The sequence below is a fragment of the Homo sapiens genome, chromosome 15 (genome assembly GCF_000001405.40).
Source record: "Homo sapiens chromosome 15, GRCh38.p14 Primary Assembly".
NCBI classification, from domain to species: Eukaryota; Metazoa; Chordata; class Mammalia; order Primates; family Hominidae; genus Homo; species Homo sapiens.
The window spans coordinates 25,249,490-25,271,823 of record NC_000015.10 but is presented as its reverse complement, the minus strand read 5'-3'; the positions used below and the strand labels follow the sequence as shown (position 1 = coordinate 25,271,823).

Here is a 22,334-nt window from a genome sequence, read left to right as displayed (position 1 = left end):
GGTAATTTTATCTTTAACTTTTTGAGGAACTGCCAAAATGTTTTCCACTAAATCAGGAGGAAAGAATTGATAAGTGGTCTTCTAGAAGCTAATAGAAACAGGTGAGAGAAACTATATCCCAAATATATTTCTTTATCTTAAGCTCAAACTAGAATACCCCAGAAAAGATAAGGACCAGCCAGTCTAGTTTTCATGTCATCTCATGTCCTCAAGACAACATAAGGTCTTATTGTTGAAACAAGCCATGGAACTCTACAATCACATATTCACTTTGTCTGAAAATACCTACCAGAGTGGCATCCTTAAATCCTGGTTGAAAGTTCACAGGAGACCAAACAGATATCTGGGTGTGTCAGCTGTGCTGGTGTCAACAAGCCAAAGAGTACTCTTCCTCAGTCATCCTTATCTAAGGGGAGGAGGATAAGACAGTAGATCAAGATGACAAATATTACCTCCTGTATGTATGGCTTATGCATGCTATTTCTTAATGAAGAGATATGATTAGTACTGGAAAAACTGATCCATTAGATAGGCTATAGGCCATTTATTCATCAAACAGAATAAAGACTAACTATACAGGTCTCTTGAATTTGGAGAATATCTCAGGTAGTTTAATGCAGAAATAAGACCTTCAATTGATCAGTCTTGTTTACATATTCAAGGAAGCCATATCAATAACAATTGGCATTAACATGTTGCTTGCACTCCATCATATAATGATCATACTGGAGCCAGGTGAAACTCAGATTTTAGAAAACAGACATCATACTACTCATAATTGTATTTAATTTAATGAATGATGGGATATGTATATATCAGAATTAGAACATGTAGCCATAATGCCATAGTCTTTATGTTGTGAGTCATCATCAATAAACCACAAACATTGTAAAAACATAGCAACCTGACATATATAAATTAGAAGTTAATATGTTAACTTCTATATTTAGACCAAATGAGCATCACATCTTAGAGATGATACCAATAATCACAAAACTTGTCAACATTATATCGATGCAATTTTAGTAAAAAATAAAGTTTCCCTCTTGTAGATCCTGGCAAGTATGCTAGTCACTCATTGAGAAGAAGAATGCATAACGATAATCATGTGGCCTGAAGGAACGGCCCTGACTGTCATTCATATAAGTGTCCATAAAGGTCTTATTTACCATTGGCATTATTCACAGCACACACTTTCATCATAATGAAAACGAAGCCAAAGGTACTTGAGAAAGAAAAGTCAGGCACCAGATTGCTCATCAATTTATCTAATTTCAAGTTTCATGGGCAAACACATATTATTGAAACTCACATTTTTATCCCAATTGCAAGGACCCTTAAGTCATAAAGATTCATTAATGATCAAAACATATCCTAGCACTGTTAAAATATTATACTAACATTACAGAAAATTTTGTCTGTATATTTAGACCACGATAACTGTAGCGCATTGAGCAAAATTCCAATGTATCATATTTCTCAACCCTGAAAACAATCAATCGTAGGGCAAAAGTAAGGATTTTCTCATGAGGATTGCATCACATGTGTCAGTCAATCATTGAGAAGAAAACCCTATCGTGATATTCATGTTGTCTGAATGAATAAATCTAATTATTATAGAGCTCAGTCTTCACTAGTTCAATTATCTATTTGAAATTTTTCAGTCAGCAAAGGCAGCCTCTCACCTCCACTCAATAGAATAGTGCCAGTAGGACTTACTAAATCATCCAATGAGAGAAAAAGAGCAAGGGTCTTAGTGCCAAATATCCAAGAAAATTAGGAATTGTAGGAAACTTAAATAGCACTTAAAGAATCAGAATTTATAGTTTACTTAGAAGCACACAGATAGAAGCGTGCAAAACAAGTTTCGCAATAAGATTCCATTGCCAGAATCCCAAAATAAAGTCCCCAATGGAAGGAAACTAAGAAATCCAAACTTCTTGTCTCACAATTGTTACCTAGGCTGGGCCTCAGCGTAATCCAACTGAACTTAATTTTTACGTCATCATTTCTCTTCAAGGTAACATCTCATCATTGACCCAGCCCATGGCACTCATGTGCATATGCACACTTGGATCAAATATGCTTACCAGAGATGGTTTCCTTAAACACTGATGGTAAAGTGGACTGGATGCCACATTTTCAGTGCCAGGCAGTTGAGTGGTGTCAGTTTCTCCCTGAACAACAGGGTAAAGGGTTTTCTTCCTCCACAGTCTTTTCTGTAAAAGACAAGAGTAGGCTATAGTCAAAGGGTGGGATTACATCTCTTATATGTGCATGACTCCTAATTGCTGTTCCTAATTTCTACAAGACTGAGATGTGTGATACTCCAAATATGACCCGTTACTTAAGCTGTGGTAGACCACTGATTCCCCGTGTACAGTAAGGGCCAAGCACATAGGTATCATGTCTTTTGATGACCTGGTAAGGGATTATTTCCCTGCAGAAATAAAAGCTTCTTATCGTCTTCATATCAGTAACAACTGGCATCATACATAGTGTATGCATTTCTTTATAATGAATCTAATGACACCTGAGTGAGACTCAGGATAAGGAAATGAGATTTCAGACTACCTGTATTGTATTCAATTTCAATCAAGGGTAACCTATAGCTGAATCTCAAGCCATTCCCTAAAATTGCCAAAGTCTTTCAGTTGTGAGTAGTGCCTCAATGATCCACAAACATCATAACACCATACACAGCAACCAAAAAATAAAATAATAGAAAAGGATTGTCTATTTGTGCAATCACTAAAGAGTTGATTGCAATGAATTACTAAATGTCACATCTTTAAATCAAAGTACGTTCAGGCAAAAAAAAAAAAAAAAAAAAAAGGAGTTTTAATGAGGACCTCATTAGATCAGTCACTCATTGGAAAGAATAGATCATTGCTCACTAATTTTGTATGAACAGGTAAATGTAATCATTTTGAAGGCCAATGTTTAATATTCAAATGGTCCACTTGAAATTTTTTAATTACGAAAGACAGAACTCATATATATAATCCGTGTAATGACACACCTCTTGCTGGATGAACATTCTGAAGCACACCATGAGGAAAAAATAAACCAAGATATTCTCTCTAATAATGTATGAGTATTAAGAATAAAGACAAGATAAAAGAATTTTAAAAGTTCCTTTAGAAGTAGGTAGAGGCAAATGATGTAAGATTCCCCCAAGGGTTTCTTCCTACCAAGTTCAAAATGGAATAACCCATACCCCCCAAATCTAATGACTTCTCACACCTTCTTGCAAGGATTGGCACTATTTTGAGCCTCAGCTTAATTCTATTGAGCATGATTTTTACATTATTACGTCTCCTGAAGATACTCTTTATACATATATTTACGTTGTCTTGTAAACCCTTACCAGAATAGCATCCTTAAACAACGGTTGCAGGGACAGAGGATCAGTTAAATTCACTGCAGCATGCCTGTGCGGTAGCACTTGCCTCTGTGACAACACCAGAGGGTGCTCTTCTCAGCAGTCTTTATCTACAGGCATAGGAATGGGACCATAGTTCAAAATCAGACATAAATTGTTCATGTGTATATGGCTTACACAGGCTATTTCTTAGTGGACAGATACGGTCCGTACTACCACAAAAAGACATATTACTAAGGCTCTAGACCATTGACTCATCAACATCATAAGGACAAGGTATGCCAGGTTTTTGACACTGAGTAATCTGCGATATTATCATATATCATACTATAGAGATGGTAAACATGACTGAACACATTCCAACATTATTTTAATATAATCTCAGTAAAAAGTGAACATTTTTTGAAAGAATTCCATCAAGTAGGCCAGTCACTCATTGAAAATAAAAACCTATAATGAGATCCATGATTCTAAATTTGTGAACCCAGTCATTTCAAAGTCCATATTAGGAATAAGTGTCATCATTTCTAACATGTGCTTTCATTATTCTGAAAATAGTGGGGTCACATGTGTGAAAGGAAAATAAACTTGGGACCCCAATTTACTACGCCAAGAGAAAAAAAAAATAAGCTGAAAGCTGAGTCATGCAAGAATTTCCTTTTGATCTTAAGCAGATAGCTACAGATTAAAGGTTAAAGATCTCCACAGGTAGCTTCTCTATGTTCACCTTATCTTATGTAAAGTGCTGATTTACTGAGCATGAGATGAATACATTATTGACTATACCCCTACCTGCTCCTTTTGTCTTGGAACATACGGATTATCATACCCTCCCTTTTCCCCCTCCAGCCCACTTTTCCCCTTTAAACACTGAAGCCCTCAAAATCATCTTTGGAGAAAGACATAGACCCCAGACGGTTTCTGTGATTTTGGGTTTATTTCTTCTGAGCATGTGCTTAACCTTGGCAAAATCCACTTCTAAATAAACTTCTAAATCTCAGATACTTTTTGGTTTACACATGATAGGAACTGAAATTTGAGTATCAATTTGGTGATCAAATTACTAAATATTTAAGTTTTATAGGCAAAGTACATACTGATCCTCACATTCTCCTCCCCATTACCACGGTCTCTTCCATTACCATGGTCTCACAGTTACAGAAAGTTCATCAGTAACTCAAAACAGTGAAACACTGTTAGAGCCCCCACAATAATAATATAAAAAATTTTTGTCTAGTCATGTATCTACAGCCAAATGTATATTAAATATTGGACTAGGTAACAGTGAATTTAAAAAATCTTCAATATTGATTGTATGAAGTTCAGATAAAAAGTAAAGATTTTGTCATAAGGATTATATCATAAAGCAAAACTCATATTGAAGTTCAGATTACCTGAAGGTGTAAAACTAATTCCCTTAGGTGGGAGTCTTCCATAGCTCAATGTTCTAGATAGAATATACACGTCGGTAAAGGAAGCTACTGATCTTTTATAATAGAATGGCACATCTCTTGGCAGCATGTCTTACTGAAATACACAATAAGAGAAAAAGCCAAAGAATGAGACCTGAATATACCTTACTATTAGAAATTAAAGGTCACTGAAGCAAAGCTTATAGGCTGAGAATTTTTTGTTCATTTATAGGTGCACTGATACAGTTGGGCAAACAAGTTACCCATAAAGATTTTGTTATTTCAAGTTCAAAATAAAATTCCCCTTGAAGGGAAATAAGAAGTCACTATTATCTGTTTCAGCATTTTCATCTAGGTAGGCTGAGCCTCAGCATAATCCTATTGAGTGTAATTTTAAGGCATTATTTCTCACCAAATCAGAAGATTTCATTATTGATGAAAGACATAGTACTCCCCATGCACACTTGAGAAGGCTTCCTGAAGCTGTGATGCTAGGATGCATTGGTGTCAAGAGCATTTTCATTAAAGGACACCTGGGTGCTGTCAACTGTCCCAGTCACAACAGGCCAAAGAGTGCTTTTCTTCCATATCATCATCTAAGGGACAGATGTAGAGCAAATGTCAAAGGGAGAACTACATCTCACCTGTGTATATGAGTCATGTTTGTTAATTGAGCAATATTGACAATACTAAAAAAATGACCCATTATAAAGGTTTTAGTCCACTGGTTCACAAAATATAATAAGGACAAATCATACAGGTCACTTGGCTTTGGAGAAGCAATTCAGTGGTTTTCTGCAGAAACAAAACATCCCATTAATCATCGCTTTATATATTCAAGGAAGCTGTATCAGTAACAATTAGCATGGTTTACTGTATATGAACTTTCATAAAATACAGACACTCTGGAAGCCACTTGCATCTCAGGATCTAGAAATCAGTTATCAGGGCACATGGAGTTGTATTCATTTACATGCATCTTGGCCAAAATGCCCAGTTTTCATATTGTGAACCCTCATCAAATGACCCACAAACATGACAAAATGGAATAACATGAAAATATTATAATAGGTAGAGGTGAAGGCCAGGCACGGGGGCTCAAGCCTGTAATCCCAGCACTTTGGGAGGCAGAGGTGGGCAGATCACAAGGTCAGGAGTTCAAGAACAGCCTGACCAACATGGTGAAACCATGTCTCTACTAAAATTACAAAAAAATTAGCCAGGAATGGTAGCACGTGCCTGTAATCCCAGCTACTCAGGAGGCTGAGGCAGGAGAATCGCTTGAACCTGGGAGGCAGAGGTTGCAATGAGCTGAGATCGCACCACTGTACTCTAGCCTGGGCAACAGAGCGAGACTCCGTCTCAAAAAAAAAAAAAAAAAAGGTAGAGGTTAATCTATGTCTACTCTTATATGTAGATGAAAAGAATATTACATTGTTTCATCATTATTTCAGTAAAATTTCAATAAAAAGACTTGTTTTAATCATGAGGAAGCCATAAAGAATGTCAAGTCACTTACTGAGGAGTAGAATGCCCACTGGGACACATATGTTGCCGCTTTGGTGAACCTACTCACCTCAAAGGCCCTTTCAGGACCAACTGGAAGCATTCACAGCCTGTATTTTCATTATACTGAAAATGATGAAGTCACATGATATTTGGGGTTTATAATTCAGATACTAGTTTACCCATCAACTTATTCAGTTCTCTGTTTCATGAGGAAAGCAAATTACTGATGTTACATATTTGTGTCCACTGGCATGATATTTCTGTTATGAAAAGTTTACCAGTGAGTAAACTGGCCATACCATTACAATATCTTAACACTTTTAAGGTAAAACAAGAAAAAATTTGATGTAGTTGTATATATGTACCCAAGTGAACACTGCATGTTAGATTGGGCATTATTAATCAAGTGAAACAGAAAATAAATTAATATGTTCTCAACTTTCAATCCCACCAAATTCAGGTAAAAAGTAAAGATTTTGTCATAGCATCATATCAGATAGGTCAGTCACTCACTGAGAAGAAAATCTATACTGAGATCCAGATTTTTTAAATGAGTAAACATAATAGCCTTAAGAGAGAATCATCACTAGCCTAGTGATCTATTTTGAATGTATGTGTGACGAAGGCAGTCACTCTGCTTTCATTAATGGGATGATTGCATCTCTTGCAGCACTGAAAGATACAATGAAAGATACAATGAGAGAAGAAGAACCAAGGAATGAGTCCTAAATGTCTCATACTATTAGGAATTATAAATAATGGAAACAATGCTTAAAGGATGAAAATGTGTTGTTTACCCAAAAATGCATACACAGGGTTTGGCAAAGCAAGTTCGCCACAATGGTGTCTTTTTCTCAAGCTCCAAAATTATTCACCTAAAAGAAACAAGGATTTCTAACTTCTTGTCTTAGGTTTGTCACTTATGTTAAGTCTCCACATAATCCTATTGAACATAATTTTTATGTCATCTTCCCTGTCGAAGACAATATAACATCTCCATATTGCCCCAAGCCAGGGGGTTAATCTATGGAGTCATCTCCCCACAAAGGCAGAATCATAGATATTAGCATGCTTATCAGAGATAGATTAATGTTCTATGGTGGATTGGAGTTGCTACATATTCAGTGCTGGATATCTGGATGGTATAAATTGCCCTGGGTGCAGCAGGCCAAGTGGTGCTCTTCCTTTGCTCTCACCTAAGAAGAGAGTAGGCCAGGTGTCAAAAAGGAAAACATTGTTTCCCATAGTTATATGGCTCATGCATGGTTTTCCTTAATGGAGCAAAATGGTCAGTACCCCAGAAATAGCCCATTATGTAGTCTATAGACCACAGATTCACCAAACACAAGGACAACATATACAGGTTTCTTGACTTTGGAGAATCACTGGTGTGGTATCATGCAGAACTGGGATGATGCCACTGATCATCCCTTCTCTATGTAATTGAGGTGGCCATATCAGAAGCAATCGCCATGGTCACTTGCCATTTCACACTCATAACATGAAACTTCTAAAGCCACATAAAACTCAGCTTCCAGAAATCAGATATCAGGCCACTCAGAATTGTATTCATATTTTATTATTTCTTTTACTTGCTTACTTTGAATTTAATTTGAATTTTCCCCCTAGCTTTCCAATGGGAAGGATTATTTATTTAGATCTTTGTTCTTTTTAACATACATTCAGTGGTATAAATTTCCCAGTAGGCACTGCCTTTGTTGCGTTCCTAAATTTTTGATAAGTTGTGCTTTCAATTCCATTTAGTTTGAAATATTTTAAAAATTTATCTTGAGACTTCTGTGACCTTCAGTTATTTCAGTCTGTTGTTTAACCTCCAAGTATTTTCATGTTTTTCAGCTATCTTTTTTAGTGATTTTTGTTTACTTTCATTCCATTGTAGTCTGAGAACATACTTTGTATGATTTCTATTCTTTTAAATTTGTTGAGGTGCATTTTCTAGCCCAGAATGTGGTCTATTCTGCTGAATGTTTCATGTGTGTGTGAGAAAATGTGTCATCTGCTGTTGTTGGGTAAAGTGGTCCATAGATGTCAGTTACATATAGTTGACTGAATCAAGTTTTTGATCATGATTGATCATGTTATGCCCTTACTGATTTTCTGCTTGCTAAACCTGTCCATTTCTGATAGAGGGATGCCAATGCCTCCAACTCTAAGAGTGAATTTATCTATTTCTCTATGCAGTTCTATCAGATTTAGCTTCATGTACTTTGATGATCTGCTGTTCAGTGCGTACACATTAAGGATTGTTATGTCTTCTTAGAAAACTGATCCCTTTATCATTAAGGAATGTCCCTTTTGATCTCTGATAATATTCCTTGTTCTAAAGTCGGTTGTGTCTGAAATTAATATGGCTATTTCACTTTATTTTGATTAATGTTAGCATGGGATATCTTTCTCTATTCCTTTACTGTGAATATATTTGTGCCTTTATAAAGTAGATTTACTTACTTTTTTCTATAGAGATGAGGTCTTATTCTGTCAACCAGGCTAGAGTGCAGTGGCATGATCATAGCTCACTGTAGTCCCAAAATCCTGGGCTCAGGTGACACTCCGCCTTGGCCTCCTAAGGACTGCAGGTGCACACCACCATGCCCAGCTATTTAAAGTGCATTTCTCATAGACAACATATATTTGGGTCTTGTTCTTAATCCACTGACAATCTCTGTCTTTTAAGCGATGTTTAAAGTGATTATTGATATACTTAGATTAGTATACTCAGTATTTGTGATTGTTTTCTATTTATATCAACCTTGTAATTTGTTACTTTTTTGGTATTCTACTCTTTTTCTCCTCTCCCTGATTTTAATTGAGCATTGTATAAGATTCTGCTTTTTCATACAAAAAATTAGCCAGGCATGGTGGTGCACACCTGTAATCCCAGCTATTCGGGAGGCTGAGCCCGGAGAATTGCTTGAACCTGGGAGGTGGAGGTTGTGGTGAGCTGAAATCGTGCCATTGCACTCCAGCCCGGGCAACAAGACCAAAACTCCATCTCAAAAAAAAAAAAAAAAAAAAAAAAAAAAAGATTCTGCTTTTTCTTTTCGTTTTCTTTGTTTTTGTTTTTGTTTTTTTTTGTTGTTGTTGTTGTTTTTTTGAGACAGAATCTTGCGGCTGTCTCCCAGGCTGGAGTGCAGTGGCGCAATCTCGGCTCACTGCAAGCTCTGCCTCCCAGGTTCACACCATTCTCCTGCCTCAGCCTCCTGAGTAGCTGGGACTACAGGCGCCCGCCACCATGCCCAGCTATTTTTTTTTTTTTTTTGTATTTTTAGTAGAGACGGGGTTTCACCGTGTTAGGCAGGATGGTCTTGATCTCCTGACCTCGCGATCCACCCACCTCGGCCTCCCAAAGTGCTGGGATTACAGGAGTAAGCCACCGTGCCCGGCCTCTTTTTCTTTTTCTTTTTTTTTTTGGGGGGGGTGGAGGGTAGAGATGGGCTCTTATTCGTTGCCAGGCTGGACTTGAACTCCGGGGCTCAAGTGATCTTCCTGCCTCAGCATCCCAAAGTGCTGGGATTACAGACATGAGTCACCATGTCTGGCCTGATTCTGCTTTTTCTTCTGTTAGTATATTGATTATACTGCTTTTTTCAAAATCATTTTTAGTGGCTGTGCTGGATATTACATTATACGTTTACAACTAATCCAAGTCCTTTTTCAAATTATACTGTCCTACTTCGTGGGTTAGTCCAAGTAACTAAGAGTATTTTCTCTCCCTCATGACTATATATATATATATATATATATATTTCATACTTTAAGTTCTAGGGTACATGTGCAAAACGTGCAGGTTTGTTACATATGTATACATGTGCCATGTTGGTGTGCTGCACCCGTTAACTCGTCATTTACATTAGGTATATCTCCTAATGCTATCCCTCCCCCCTCCCCCCACCCCACGGCAGCCACTCGTGTGTGATGTTCCCCACCCTGTGTCCAAGTGTTCTCACCGTTCAATTCCCACCTATGAGTGAGAACATGCAGTGTTTGGTTTTTTGTCCTTGCGATAGTTTGCTGAGAATGATGGTTTCCAGCTTCATCCATGTCCCTACAAAAGACTTGAACTCATCCATTTTTATGGCTGCAAAGTATTCCATGGTGTATATGTGCCACATTTTCTTAATCCAGTCTATCGTTGATGGACATTTGAGTTGGTTCCAAGTCTTTGCTACTGTGAATAGTGCCACAATGAACATACATGTGCATGTGTCTTTATAGTAGCATGATATATAATCCTTTGGGTATGTACCCAGTAATGGGATGGCTGGGACAAATGGTATTTCTAGTTCTAGATCCTTGAGGAATTGCCACACTGTCTTCTACAATGGTGGAACTAGTTTACCATCCCACCAACAGTGTAAAAGTATTCCTATTTCTCCACATCCTGTCCAGCACCTGTTGTTTCCTGACTTTTTAATGATTGCCATTCTAACTGGTGTGAGATGGGATCTCATTGTGGCTTTGATTCGCATTTCTCTGATGGCCAGTGATGATGAGCATTTTTTCATGTGTCTTTGGCTGCATAAATGTCTTCTTTTGAGAAGTGTCTGTTCATATCCTTTGCCCACTTGTTGATGGGGTTGATTTTTTTCTTGTAAATTTGTTTAACTTCTTTCTAGATTCTGGATATCAGCCCTTTGTCAGATGAGTAGATTGTAAAAATTTTCTCCCATTCTGTAGGTTGCCTGTTCACTCTGATGGTAGTTTCTTTTGCTGTGTAGAAACTCTTTAGTTTAATTAGATCCCATTTGTTTATTTTGGCTTTTGTTGCCATTGCTTTTGGTGTTTTAGTCATGAAGTCCTTGCCCATGCCTATGTCCTGAATGGTATTGCCTAGGTTTTCTTCTAGGGTTTTTATGGTTTTAGGTCTAACATTTAGGTCTTTAATCCATCTTGAATTAATTTTTGTATAAGGTGTAAGGAAGGGATCCAGTTTCAGCTTTTTACATATGGCTAGCCAGTTTTCTCAGCACCATTTATTAAATAGGGAATCCTTTCCCCATTTCTTATTTTTGTCAGGTTTGTCAAAGATCAGATGGTTGTAGACATGTGGTATTATTTCTGAGGGGTCTGTTCTGTTCCACTGGTCTATATCTCTGTTTTGGTACCAGTACCATGCTGTTTTGGTTACTGTAGCCTCGTAGTATAGTTTGAAGTCAGGTAGTGTGATGCCTCCAGCTTTGTCCTTTTGGCTTAGGATTGACTTGGCAATGCAGGCTCTTTTTCGGTTCCATATGAACTTTAAAGTAGTTTTTTCCAATTCTGTGAAGAAAGTCATTGGTAGCTTGATGGGGATGGCATTGAATCTATAAATTACCTTGGGCAGTATGGCCATTTTCACGATACTGATTCTTCCTATCCATGAGCATGGAATGTTCTTCCATTTGTTTGTGTCCTCTTTTATTTCGTTGAGCAGTGGTTTGTAGTTCTCCTTGAAGAGGTCCTTCACATCCCTTGTAAGTTGGATTCCTAGGTATTTTATTCTTTGAAGCAATTGTGAATGGGAGTTCACTCATGATTTCACTCTCTGTTTGTCTGTTATTGGTGTATAGGAATGCTTGTGATTTTTGCACATTGATTTTGTATTCTGAGACTTTGCTGAAGTTGCTTATCAGCTTAAGGAGATTTTGGGCTGAGACGATGGGGTTTTCTAAATATACAATCATGTCATCTGCAAACAGGGACAATTTGACTTCCTCTTTTCCTAATTGAATACCCTTTATTTCTTTCTCCTGCCTGATTGCCCTGGCCAGAACTTCCAACACTAAGTTGAATAGGAGCGGTGAGAGAGGGCATTCCTGTCTTGTGCCAGTTTTCAAAGGGAATGCTTCCAGTTTTTGCCCATTCAGTATGACATTGGCTGTGGGTTTGTCATAAACAGCTCTTATTATTTTGAGATACGTCCCATCAACACCTAGTTTAGTGAGAGTTTTTAGCATGAAGCGCTGTTGAATTTTGTCGAGGCCTTTTCTGCATCTGTTGAGATAATCATGTGGTTTTTGTCTTTGGTTCTGTTTATATGATGGATTATGTTTATTGATTTGTGTATGTTGAACCAGCCTTGCATCCCAGGGATGAAGCCAACTTGATCGTGGTGGATTAGCTTTTGATGTGTTGCTGGATTCGGTTTGCCAGTATTTTATTGAAGATTTTTGCATCGATGTTCATCAGGGATATTGGTCTAAAATTCTCTTTTTTGTTGTGTCTCTGCCAGGCTTTGGTATCAGGATGATGCTGGCCTTATAAAATGAGTTAGAGAGGATTCCCTATTTTTCTACTGACTGGAATAGTTTCGGAAGGCATGGTACCAGCTCCTCTTTGTACCTCTGGCAGAATTCAGCTGTGAATCCCTCTGGTCCTGGACTTTCTTTGGTTGGTAGGCTATTAATTATTGCCTCAATTTCAGAGCCTGTTATTGGTCTATTCAGAGATTCACCTTCTTCCTGGTTTAGTCTTGGGAGGGTGTATGTGTCCAGGAATTTATCCATTTCTTCTAGATTTTCTAGTTTATTTGCATAGAGATGTTTATAGTATTCTCTGATGGTAGTTTGTATTTCTGTGGGATTGGTGGTGATATCCCCTTTATCATTTTTTATTGCATCTATTGGATTCTTCTCTCTTTTCTTCTTTATTAGTCTTGCTAGTGGTCTATCAATTTTGTTTATCTTTTCAAAAAACCAGTTCCTGGATTCATTGATTTTTTGAAGGGTTTTTTGTGTCTCTATCTCCTTCAGTTCTGCTCCAATCTTAGTTATTTCCTGCCTTCTGCTAGCTTTTGAAAATGTTGGCTCTTGCTTCCCTAGTTCTTTTAATTGTGATGTTAGGGTGTCAATTTTAGATCTTTCCTGCTTTCTCTTGTGGGCATTTAGTGCTATAAATTTCTCTCTACACACTGCTTTAAATATGTCCCAGAGATTCTGGTATGTTGTGTCTTTGTTCTCATTGGTTTCAAAGAACATCTTTATTTCTGCCTTCATTTCATTATGTACCCAGTAGTCATTCAGGAGCAGATTTTTCAGTTTCCATGTAGTTGAGTGGTTTTGAGTGAGTTTCTTAATCCTGAGTTCTAGTTTGATTGCACTGTGGTCTGAGAGACAGTTTGTTATAATTTCTATTCTTTTACATTCGCTGAGGAGTGCTTTACTTCCAACTATGTGGTCAATTTTGGAATAAGTGCGATGTGGTGCTGAGAAGAATGTACATTCTGTTGATTTGGGGTGGAGAGTTCTGTAGATGTCTATTAGGTCTGCTTGGTGTAGAGCTGAGTTCAATTCCTGGATATCCTTGTTAACTTTCTGTCTTGTTGATCTGTCTAATGTTGACAGTGGGGTGTTAAAGTCTCCCATTATTATTGTGTGGGAGTCTAAGTCTCTTTGTAGGTCTGTAAGGACTTACTTTATGAATCTGGGTGCTCCTGTATTGGGTGCATGTATATTTAGGATAGTTAGCTCTTGTTGTTGAATTGACCCCTTTACTATTACATAATGGCCTTCTTTGTCTCTTTTGATCTTTGTTGGTTTAAAGTCTGTTTCATCAGAGACTAGGATTGCAACCCCTGCTTTTTTTTGTTTTCCATTTGCTTGGTAGATCTTCCTCCATCCCTTTATTTGGAGCCTATGTGTGTCTCTGCACATGAGATGGGTCTCCTGAATACAGCACACTGATGGGTCTTGACTCTTTATCCAATTTGCCAGTCTGTGTCTTTTAATTGGAGAATTTAGCCCATTTACATTTAAGGTTAATATTGTTATGTGTGAATGTGATCCTGTCATTGTGATGTTAGCTGGTTATTTTGCTCGTTAGTTGACGCAGTTTCTTCCTAGCATCAGTGATCTTTACAATTTGGCATGTTTTTGCAGTGGCTGGTACTGGTTGTTCCTTTCCATGCTTAGTGCTTCCTTCAGGAGCTCTTGTAGGGCAGGCCTGGTGGTGACAAAATCTCTCAGCATTTACTTGTCTGTAAAGTATTTTATTTCTCCTTCAATTATGAAGCTTAGTTTGGCTGGATATGAAATTCTGGGTTGAAAATTCTTTCATTTAAGAATGTTGAATATTGGCCCCCACTCTCTTCTGGCTTGTAGAGTTTCTGCTGAGAGATTTGCTGTTAGTTTGATGGGCTTCCCTTTGTGGGTAACTTGACCTTTCTCTCTGGCTTCCCTTAATATTTTTTCCTTCATTTCAACTTTGGTGTATCTGTCAATTATGTGTCTTGGAGTTACGCTTCTCAAGGAGTATCTTTGTGGCATTCTCTGTATTTTCTGAACTTGAATGTTGGCTTGCCTTCCTAGGTTGGGGGAGTTCTCCTGGATAATATCCTGCAGAGTGTTTTCCAACTTGGTTCCATTCTCCCCATCACTTTCAAGTACACCAATCAGACGTAGATTTGGTGTTTTCACATAGTCCCATGTTTCTTTTTTACTTTGTTTTACTTTTTTACTTTTTTAGGCTTTGTTTCTTTTTACTCTTTTTTCTCTAAACTTCTCTTCTTGCTTCATTTCATTCATTTGATCTTGAATCACTGATACCCTTTCTTCCACTTGATCAAATCGGCTACTGAAGCTTGTGCATGTGTGACGTAGTTCTTGTGCCATGGTTTCAGCTCCATCAGGTCATTTAAGGTCTTCTCTATGCTGTTTATTCTAGTTAGCCACTCATCTAATCTTTTTTCAAGGTTTTTAGCTTCTTTGCGATGGGTTTGAACCTCATCCTTTAGCTCAGAGAAGTTTGTTATTAGCGATCATCTGAAGCCTACTTCTGTCAGCTCGTCAAAGTCATTCTCCGTCCAGCTTTGTTCCATTGCTGGCAGGGAGCTGCATTCCTTTGGAGGAGAAGAGGTGCTCTGATTTTTAGAATTTTCAGTTTTTCTGCTCTGGTTTCTCCCCATCTTTGTGGTTTCATCTACCTTTGGTCTTTGATGATGGTGACGTACAGATGGGGTTTTGGTGTGGATGTCCTTTCTCTTTGTTAGTTTTCCTTCTAACAGTCAGGATCCTCAGCTGCAGGTCTGTTGGAGTTTGCTGGAAGTCCACTCCAGACCCTGTTTGCTTGGGTATCACCAGTGGAGGCTGCAAAACAGCAAATATTGCAGAACGGCAAATGTTGCTGCCTGATCCTTCCTCTGGAAGCTTCGTCTCAGAGGGGCACCCAGCTGTATGAGGTATCAGTCAGCCCCTACTGGGAGGTGTCTCTCAGTTAGGCTACTTGGGGGTCAGGGACCCATTTAAGGAGGCAGCCTGTCTGTTCTCAGATCTGAAACTCTGTACTGGGAGAACCACTACTCTCTTCAAAGCTGTCAGGGATGTTTAAGTCTGCAGAAGTTTCTGTTGCCTTTTGTTCTGCTATGCCCTGCCCCTAGAGGTGGAGTCTACGGAAGCAGGCAGGCCTCCTTGAGCTGTGGTGGGCTCCACCCAGTTCGAGCTTCCCAGCCGCTTTGTTTACCTACTCAAGCCTCAGCAATGGTGGATGCCCCTCCCCCAGCCTCACTGCTGCCTTGCAGTTTGATCTCAGACTACTGTGCTAGCAGTGAGCAAGGCTCCGTGGATGTGGGACCCTCCAAGCCAGGCACGGGATATAATCTCCTGGTGTGCCGTTTGCTAAGACAGTTGGAAAAGCACAGTATTAGGGTGGGAGTGTCCCAATTTTCCAGGTACCATCTGTCACGCTTCCCTTGGCTAGGAAAGGGAATTCCCTGACCTCTTGCACTTCCCAGGTGAGGTGATGCCTCGTCCTGCTTCGGCTTACACTCCATGGGCTGCACCCACTGTCCAACAAGCCCCAGTGAGATGAACCTGGTACGTCAGTTGGAAATGCAGAAATCAACTGTCTTCTGCGTCACTCACACTGGGAGCTGTAAACTGGAGCTGTTCCTATTCGGCCATCTTGGAACCGGATGACTTATAATATTGCTGTCATTCATTTCACTTTTCCATAACCTATAATCACCAAATATAATCTTGTTATTATTTTGAACAAATTGTTGAAAGATCAATTATGAATCAAAAAATACATATATATTTAATTTTTCTTCATATATTTCTTCTCCAATGCTTTTCATTTCTTTATGTAAATTAGATTTTCCGACCTATGTCATTTTTATCCTTTCTGAAGAATTTCTTGTTACGTTTATTAAAAGGTTGGTGTAGTGGCAAGAAGTTCTAGCAATTTTTGTTGGTCTCAGAGAGTATTTCTCCTTCACTTTTGAAGAATAATTTTGATGAGCAGAAAATTCAAAGTTGGTACTTTTTTTTGTTTCTTACTTTTAACACTAAATATTTCACCCTGACTCACTTCTTGCTTTCATGGATTCTGAAGATAATTTCAAAGCAATTTTTATTCTTGTTGCTCCATAGGTAAGATGGTTTTCTTCCTATTGCTCCTATCAAGCTTTTCCCTTAGTCTATGATTTTCTGGACTTTAAATATGAAATGCAAAGGTGTCGATTTGTAAAATATTTTTATTCTGCAGAGTGCTCTCTGAGCTTCCTGAACATGTGGGTTTCTGTCCATCATTAATTTTAGAAAGTGCTCAAGTCATTGTTGTGTCAAATATTTCTTTTCCTTTATCTCCTTATTCTCCTGACATTGTCACTATGCATTTTTACACTTTTTGAAATGCTTCCAGAGTTCTTGGATATTTTTTACTTTCTCATTCTTTTTTCCCTCTGCATTGCAATTTGGAAATTTGTATTGATATTTCTTCAAGGGAACTAACTCCTCCTACAATATAAGCAAGAGCATTGATGAGCACAAAAAAAGGCACTTATTGTAAATTCTATGCACTGTAAATTCTATACACTGTAAATTCTATACACTGCTGTTGACGTCAAGCCTTTTCTAATGATTCTGTCCTAGAGTTTCCTTCTCCCGACTTACATTACCTACCTGTTATTCCTTGTTACCTACTTTCTACCTTAGAGCACTCAGCATGTAACTCATGTTGTATTAACCCTATCATGTGATTACTGCAACATTTCAGCCAATACCAATCTAATTCTTTAGCTAGATCTTCCACTTCAGAAGGTGTTCTTTAAATTTCTAAGCATTGCAATTTGTATTGAAGGCAAAACATGATATAAGGAGAAACGCAACTGAGACAATCCATTATCGAAAGATTTTATATTTCTTTGAAAAACCATCAATATGATAAGGTCATATCAATGAATTTCTGTGGTTATATCAAAATAAATGTCCTCTGCTGTGCTTGTCTACTTTCTCGTCTTTAGATTTCCATACAATCTGTTTCAGTAAAGTAGGAGATAGGCAGTGCATTCAACTGTAGTCCCCAATTAAAAAAAAAACTGGCAAAAATTATGCACAATCATATAATGTACAGAAAAAAAGCATATTTCTGAACAACTACAATGAGACTGTGTATTCCAACTAAAACACTATCAAATTAGGAAGTAAATAAAAATGAAAAATACCACCACCAATAAAACATTTGCTGCTGCCTTTGTGAAAGTAAAATACACAAAGCGGTAAAAAATACAAAGAGAACACACAAAAAGCACTGAAGAAAATGAAATACAAAGAGCTGCCACAACACCCATCACATAACCTCTCCTCGAGACAAAATAAGGTTCTCATCATCAACCTAACCGAGGGCACCCCCGTCACCGTGCAGGTAACCAGCGGGACCTGGACAAGCTCACCACCGCTCAATGCAGGACACCAGGCTGCCAAGAAAAGCCCAAGCTCCAGCACACCAAGGGCTGTGCACCTGGCTGACAGACACTGTCCTGATGAAAGGTGACAGCGTGCTGGCAGTCCTCACAGCCCTCACTTGCTCTTGGCGCCTCCTCTGCCTGGGCTCCCACTTTGGTGGCACTTGAGGAGCCCTTCAGCCCACTGCTGCACTGTGGGAGCCCCTTTCTGGGCTGGCCAAGGCCGGAGCCTGCTCCCTCAGCTTGCAGGGAGGTGTGGAGGGAGAGGCGCAAGTGGGAACCGGGGCTGCGCGGGGCGCTTGTGGGCCAGCTGGAGTTCCGGGTGGGTGTGGGCTTGGCGGGCCCCACACTCGGAGCAGCGGGCCGGCCCTGCCGGCCCCAGGCAATGAGGGGCTTAGCACCCGGGCCAGCAGCTGCAGAGGGTATACTGGGTCCCCCAGCAGTGCCAGCCCACCGGCGCTGCACTTGATTTCTCACCGGGCCTTAGCTGCCTTCCCTCGGGGCAGGGCTCGGGACCTGCAGCCTGCCATGCCTGAGCCTCCCACCCCCTCCATGGGCTCCTGTGCAGCCAGAGCCTCCCCGACGAGTGCCGCCCCCTGCTCCACGGTGCCCAGTCCCATCAACCACACAAGGGCTGAGGAGTGCGGGCGCATGGCGCAGGACTGGCAGGCAGCTCCACCTGCAGCCCCAGTGCGGGATCCACTGGGTGAAGACAGCTGGGCTCCTGAGTCTGGTGGGGCCTTGGAGAACCTTTATGTCTAGCTCAGGGATTGTAAATACACCAATCGGCACTCTGTATCTAGCTCAAGGTTTGTAAACACACCAATCAGCACCCTGTGTCTAGCTCAGGGTTTGTGAATGCACCAATCGACACTCTGTATCTAGCTTCTCTGGTGGGGCCTTGGAGAACCTTTATGTCTAGCTCAGGGACTGTAAATACACCAATCCGCGCTCTGTATCTGGCTCAAGGTTTGCAAACACACCAATCAGCACTCTGTGTCAAGCTCAGGGTTTGTGAATGCACCAATAGACACTCTGTATCTAGCTACTCCGGTGGGGACTTGGAGAACCTTTGTGTCAACACTCTGTATCTAGCTAATCTAGTGGGGACATGGAGAACCTTTGTGTCTAGCTCAGGGATTGTAAACGCACCAATCAGCGCCCTGTCAAAACAGATCACTCAGCTCTACCAATCAGCAGGATGTGTGTGGGGCCAGATAAGAGAATAAAAGCAGGCTGCCCCAGCCAGCAGTGGCAACCCACTTGGGTCCCCTTCCAAACTGTGGAAGCTTTGTTCTTTCACTCTTTGCAATAAATCTTGCTACTGCTCACTCTTTGGGTCCACACTGCTTTTATGAGCTGTAACACTCACCGCGAAGGTCTGCAGCTTCACTCCTGAAGCCAGCGAGACCACAAACCCACCAGAAGGAAGAAACTCCGAACACATCCGAACATCAGAAGGAACAAACTCCAGACATGCCACCTTAAGAGCTGTAACACTCACAGCGAGGGTCCGCAGCTTCATTCTTGAAGTCAGTGAGACCAAGAACCCACCAATTCCGGACACACTGGGACCAGCGGGCCGAACGCAAGTCCTCCTCCGGGCTCACCACCTGGTGGGACAAGAGGAAGACAGCTGTCCACACAGGGCCTCACAGCTCCATGAGAAGAAGTGGGAAGGGGGCGCTGGCTCACGCATGCTCATCCTCTATGGACCCACGTAATGGGATCCACGTGGAACACTGACCCATCACGGATGCAGGGCACCCTTGGCCCTCCCTGCCACAAAATCCTGGAAAGACAGGGCAAGCAGGTCACTGGGATCAGGCAAGATGCCTGGGCTGCACCCTACTGCAGGCCCCAAGAGCACCTCCACTGCCTGGGCCAGCTCCACTCAACCACCCCAGGGCCACACCAGGACCACGGGGCATGGGCCAGGGCAACCAAGCAGCTGATGGCCAACCAAGGAGGCTGGTCCTGATGCCAGGAGCCAATGCAGACCTGGCAGTCGCAGAGCCTGCCCTTGGGCATGGTGGGTGCCGGCCCTGGTGCCCACTCCAAGCAGGCACTGGAAATCAAAGCCTGGGGGCCTCCAGAGCCACATGCTTTCTATGGTGAGTCCCCATCAACGACTCAACCCCAGGGAAAAAAACACCACCCCCCATCAGGCTCCAGGAGGCCCACTGGAATGGCGTATTTCTCAATGGACAATTCCAATCAGGGCCATGGGTGAGGCACCATCCTTGAATCTCCATGACCCAACCCCAAGGGCAGATTCAAGCACCACACTCCATGGACAAAGAGCTCCCCTCTAACCCCCTCAGATGGCCTGAGAAATCCTCCAGGCCTGACCTGAGCACTGAGTCTCAACAGAACGCTGCGCTGGGTGGGGCTGAAGGAACTCTTTCCTGCCTGGACCACCGTCACTCCTGCAGAGATCAGGGAAGTTATCCTCCTTGGGTCCAATTCCCAAAAAAGCGGCCCTCCTGGAGAACCCATACCTCTCTGATGGGAATTCAGGTTGGTTCCCTGAGGAAACCCTCTTATCCCAAAGGCTGACCCTTGGTGACCCCACATGGACCGGTTCATGGCCCATGACACAAGCAGGATCCACTCACCTATGCCAGTCAATGCCGGGGGCCCGCCCGGGTGGAAGAGCTCACTGAAAGACACAAGGGGAGAATGGGGGCTCAGGAAGGAGCCACCAACCGGCCCCAACCCCGGGGAACAGGAGCCCGACACCAAGCCCCCTCAGGGAGCCTGGGCTGCCTCCTGGAGGAGCAGAGAGACAGGGTTGGACCTTCCAGATGGCCCTCAGGGCCTGCAGGTGTCCAGCGCAAAATACAGTGGCCATTCCGGGGAGCCCAGTGTCCTCTTCCAAAATTCTCACCTAGGCTGGGCCTCAGCGTAATCCTATTGAGCATGATTTTTAAGTCATCACCGCTCTTCAGGACAATATAAGGTTCTCATCATTGACCCAACCAAGGGCAACCCCCACCCCAAGCATGCATCCATGTGCTCACCACAGCTCAGTGCAGGAGACCAGGGTGCCAGGGAGGGTCCAAACTCCAGAGCACTGGGGGATTAGCACCAGGCTGATGGACACTGGCCTGGGGCCTGTGGGGGTCCAACACAAGTCTTCCTCCAGACTCACCATCTGAAGGGACAGGAGGAGGACATGTGTCCAACCAGGGCCTCACATATCAGTGCAGGGAGGGTGGGTAGGGAATACCCATATGATGGGGATCCATGCAGAACACTGACCCAACATGGGCACAAGGCACCATTGGCCCTCCTGGCCACCAAACCTTAGAAAGACAGGGTAAGTGGGTCACTGGGCTGGGGCAAGATGCCTGGGCTGCACTCTACTGCAGGCCCTGAGAGCACCTTCACGGCCTGGGCCAGCTCCCCTGAACAACCCCAGGGCCACACCAGGACCATGGGGCATGGGCCAGGGCAACCAACCTGCTCCTGGCCAACCAAGGAGCCTTGGCCAATCAGGAACCACATGGTGTCCTCTCCTTTTCTTGGACTCAAGACCCCACTACCCTGGAGGTGACCCCATGGCTCAGAAGCAGCCTGGATGGCAAATTTCCAGGACAGGTCCCTGAGCAGCAGGCCTTCCCACCATAGGAGGCTACCCTTTCCACCACTGGACCTCAAGGAAGGGATGACACCAGCGGGACACAAGCTGCCCCCTTGGCCCAAGGAAGGGCCGGCCTGCAGTACCACCAGGCGCCCAGTCAGAGCTCAGCTTTGACTCAACCTTATTGAAACAGCAACCCACCCCCAACAGGCTCAAGGAGGCGCCATTAAGATGGCCCATTACTCAACAGAGTTGGTCCCATTCAGGGCCAGGGGTGGGGGCATTCCTTGAATCTCCGCCACCTGACTGTGGGCCCAATCACCCACCACTCTTCAGGGAGGGAGAACTCCAGTGTGAGCCCCAGGGAGCCCCAGAGCTTCTGTGTCCCCCATCATGAAGCCTGGGCAGTCCTCAAGGCCTGACGAGCCCACCAAATTTCAGCTGGGAGCTGCTGTATGTTGGGCTGAAGGAACGCTTTCCTGCCTGGACCACCATCACCTTTGCAGGGCTTCAGGAAATGCGTGCTCCTAGGGTCAGATTCCCAAGGAAGTGACCCTACTGGAGCAATGTTCCCTCCCCGGGGGCACCTGGAGAAAACGCTAGTGGCCTGAAGGCTGACCCTCGATGACCCCACACTGCCTCATTTATGGCCCATGACCGCAACAGGATACACTCACCTATACTGCTTAAGGGCATGGGCCCCACCTGGGCAGAAGAGCTCAATAGAAGACACAGGGGAGAACGTGGGCTCAGGAAGGAGCT

General features: G+C 42.1%; 1 long non-coding RNA gene and 5 other non-coding genes across 6 annotated transcripts in view; all 6 read right to left on the bottom strand.

Moving 5' to 3' along the window:
- Positions 1-22,334, bottom strand: part of SNHG14 (small nucleolar RNA host gene 14) — a 595,855-nt gene that overhangs the window by 147,639 nt on the left and 425,882 nt on the right. The window contains exons 137-144 of the long non-coding RNA NR_146177.1: positions 21,013-21,143; positions 20,605-20,648; positions 19,491-19,599; positions 5,210-5,393; positions 4,780-4,912; positions 3,371-3,495; positions 2,091-2,219; positions 290-406 (exon numbers count right to left, since the gene is read on the bottom strand). This is a non-coding gene — a long non-coding RNA (small nucleolar RNA host gene 14). The remainder of the gene's footprint in view (positions 1-289; positions 407-2,090; positions 2,220-3,370; positions 3,496-4,779; positions 4,913-5,209; positions 5,394-19,490; positions 19,600-20,604; positions 20,649-21,012; positions 21,144-22,334) is intronic.
- Positions 1,966-2,041, bottom strand: SNORD115-48 (small nucleolar RNA, C/D box 115-48). The gene has a single exon (NR_003362.1). It is a non-coding gene; the product is annotated as a small nucleolar RNA, C/D box 115-48 (small nucleolar RNA).
- Positions 3,275-3,307, bottom strand: SNORD115-47 (small nucleolar RNA, C/D box 115-47). The gene has a single exon (NR_003499.1). It is a non-coding gene; the product is annotated as a small nucleolar RNA, C/D box 115-47 (small nucleolar RNA).
- Positions 5,163-5,233, bottom strand: SNORD115-46 (small nucleolar RNA, C/D box 115-46). Its single transcript, NR_047033.1, has one exon. It is a non-coding gene; the product is annotated as a small nucleolar RNA, C/D box 115-46 (small nucleolar RNA).
- Positions 7,245-7,297, bottom strand: SNORD115-45 (small nucleolar RNA, C/D box 115-45). The gene has a single exon (NR_003498.1). It is a non-coding gene; the product is annotated as a small nucleolar RNA, C/D box 115-45 (small nucleolar RNA).
- On the bottom strand, positions 20,884-20,965 carry SNORD115-44 (small nucleolar RNA, C/D box 115-44). The gene has a single exon (NR_003359.1). It is a non-coding gene; the product is annotated as a small nucleolar RNA, C/D box 115-44 (small nucleolar RNA).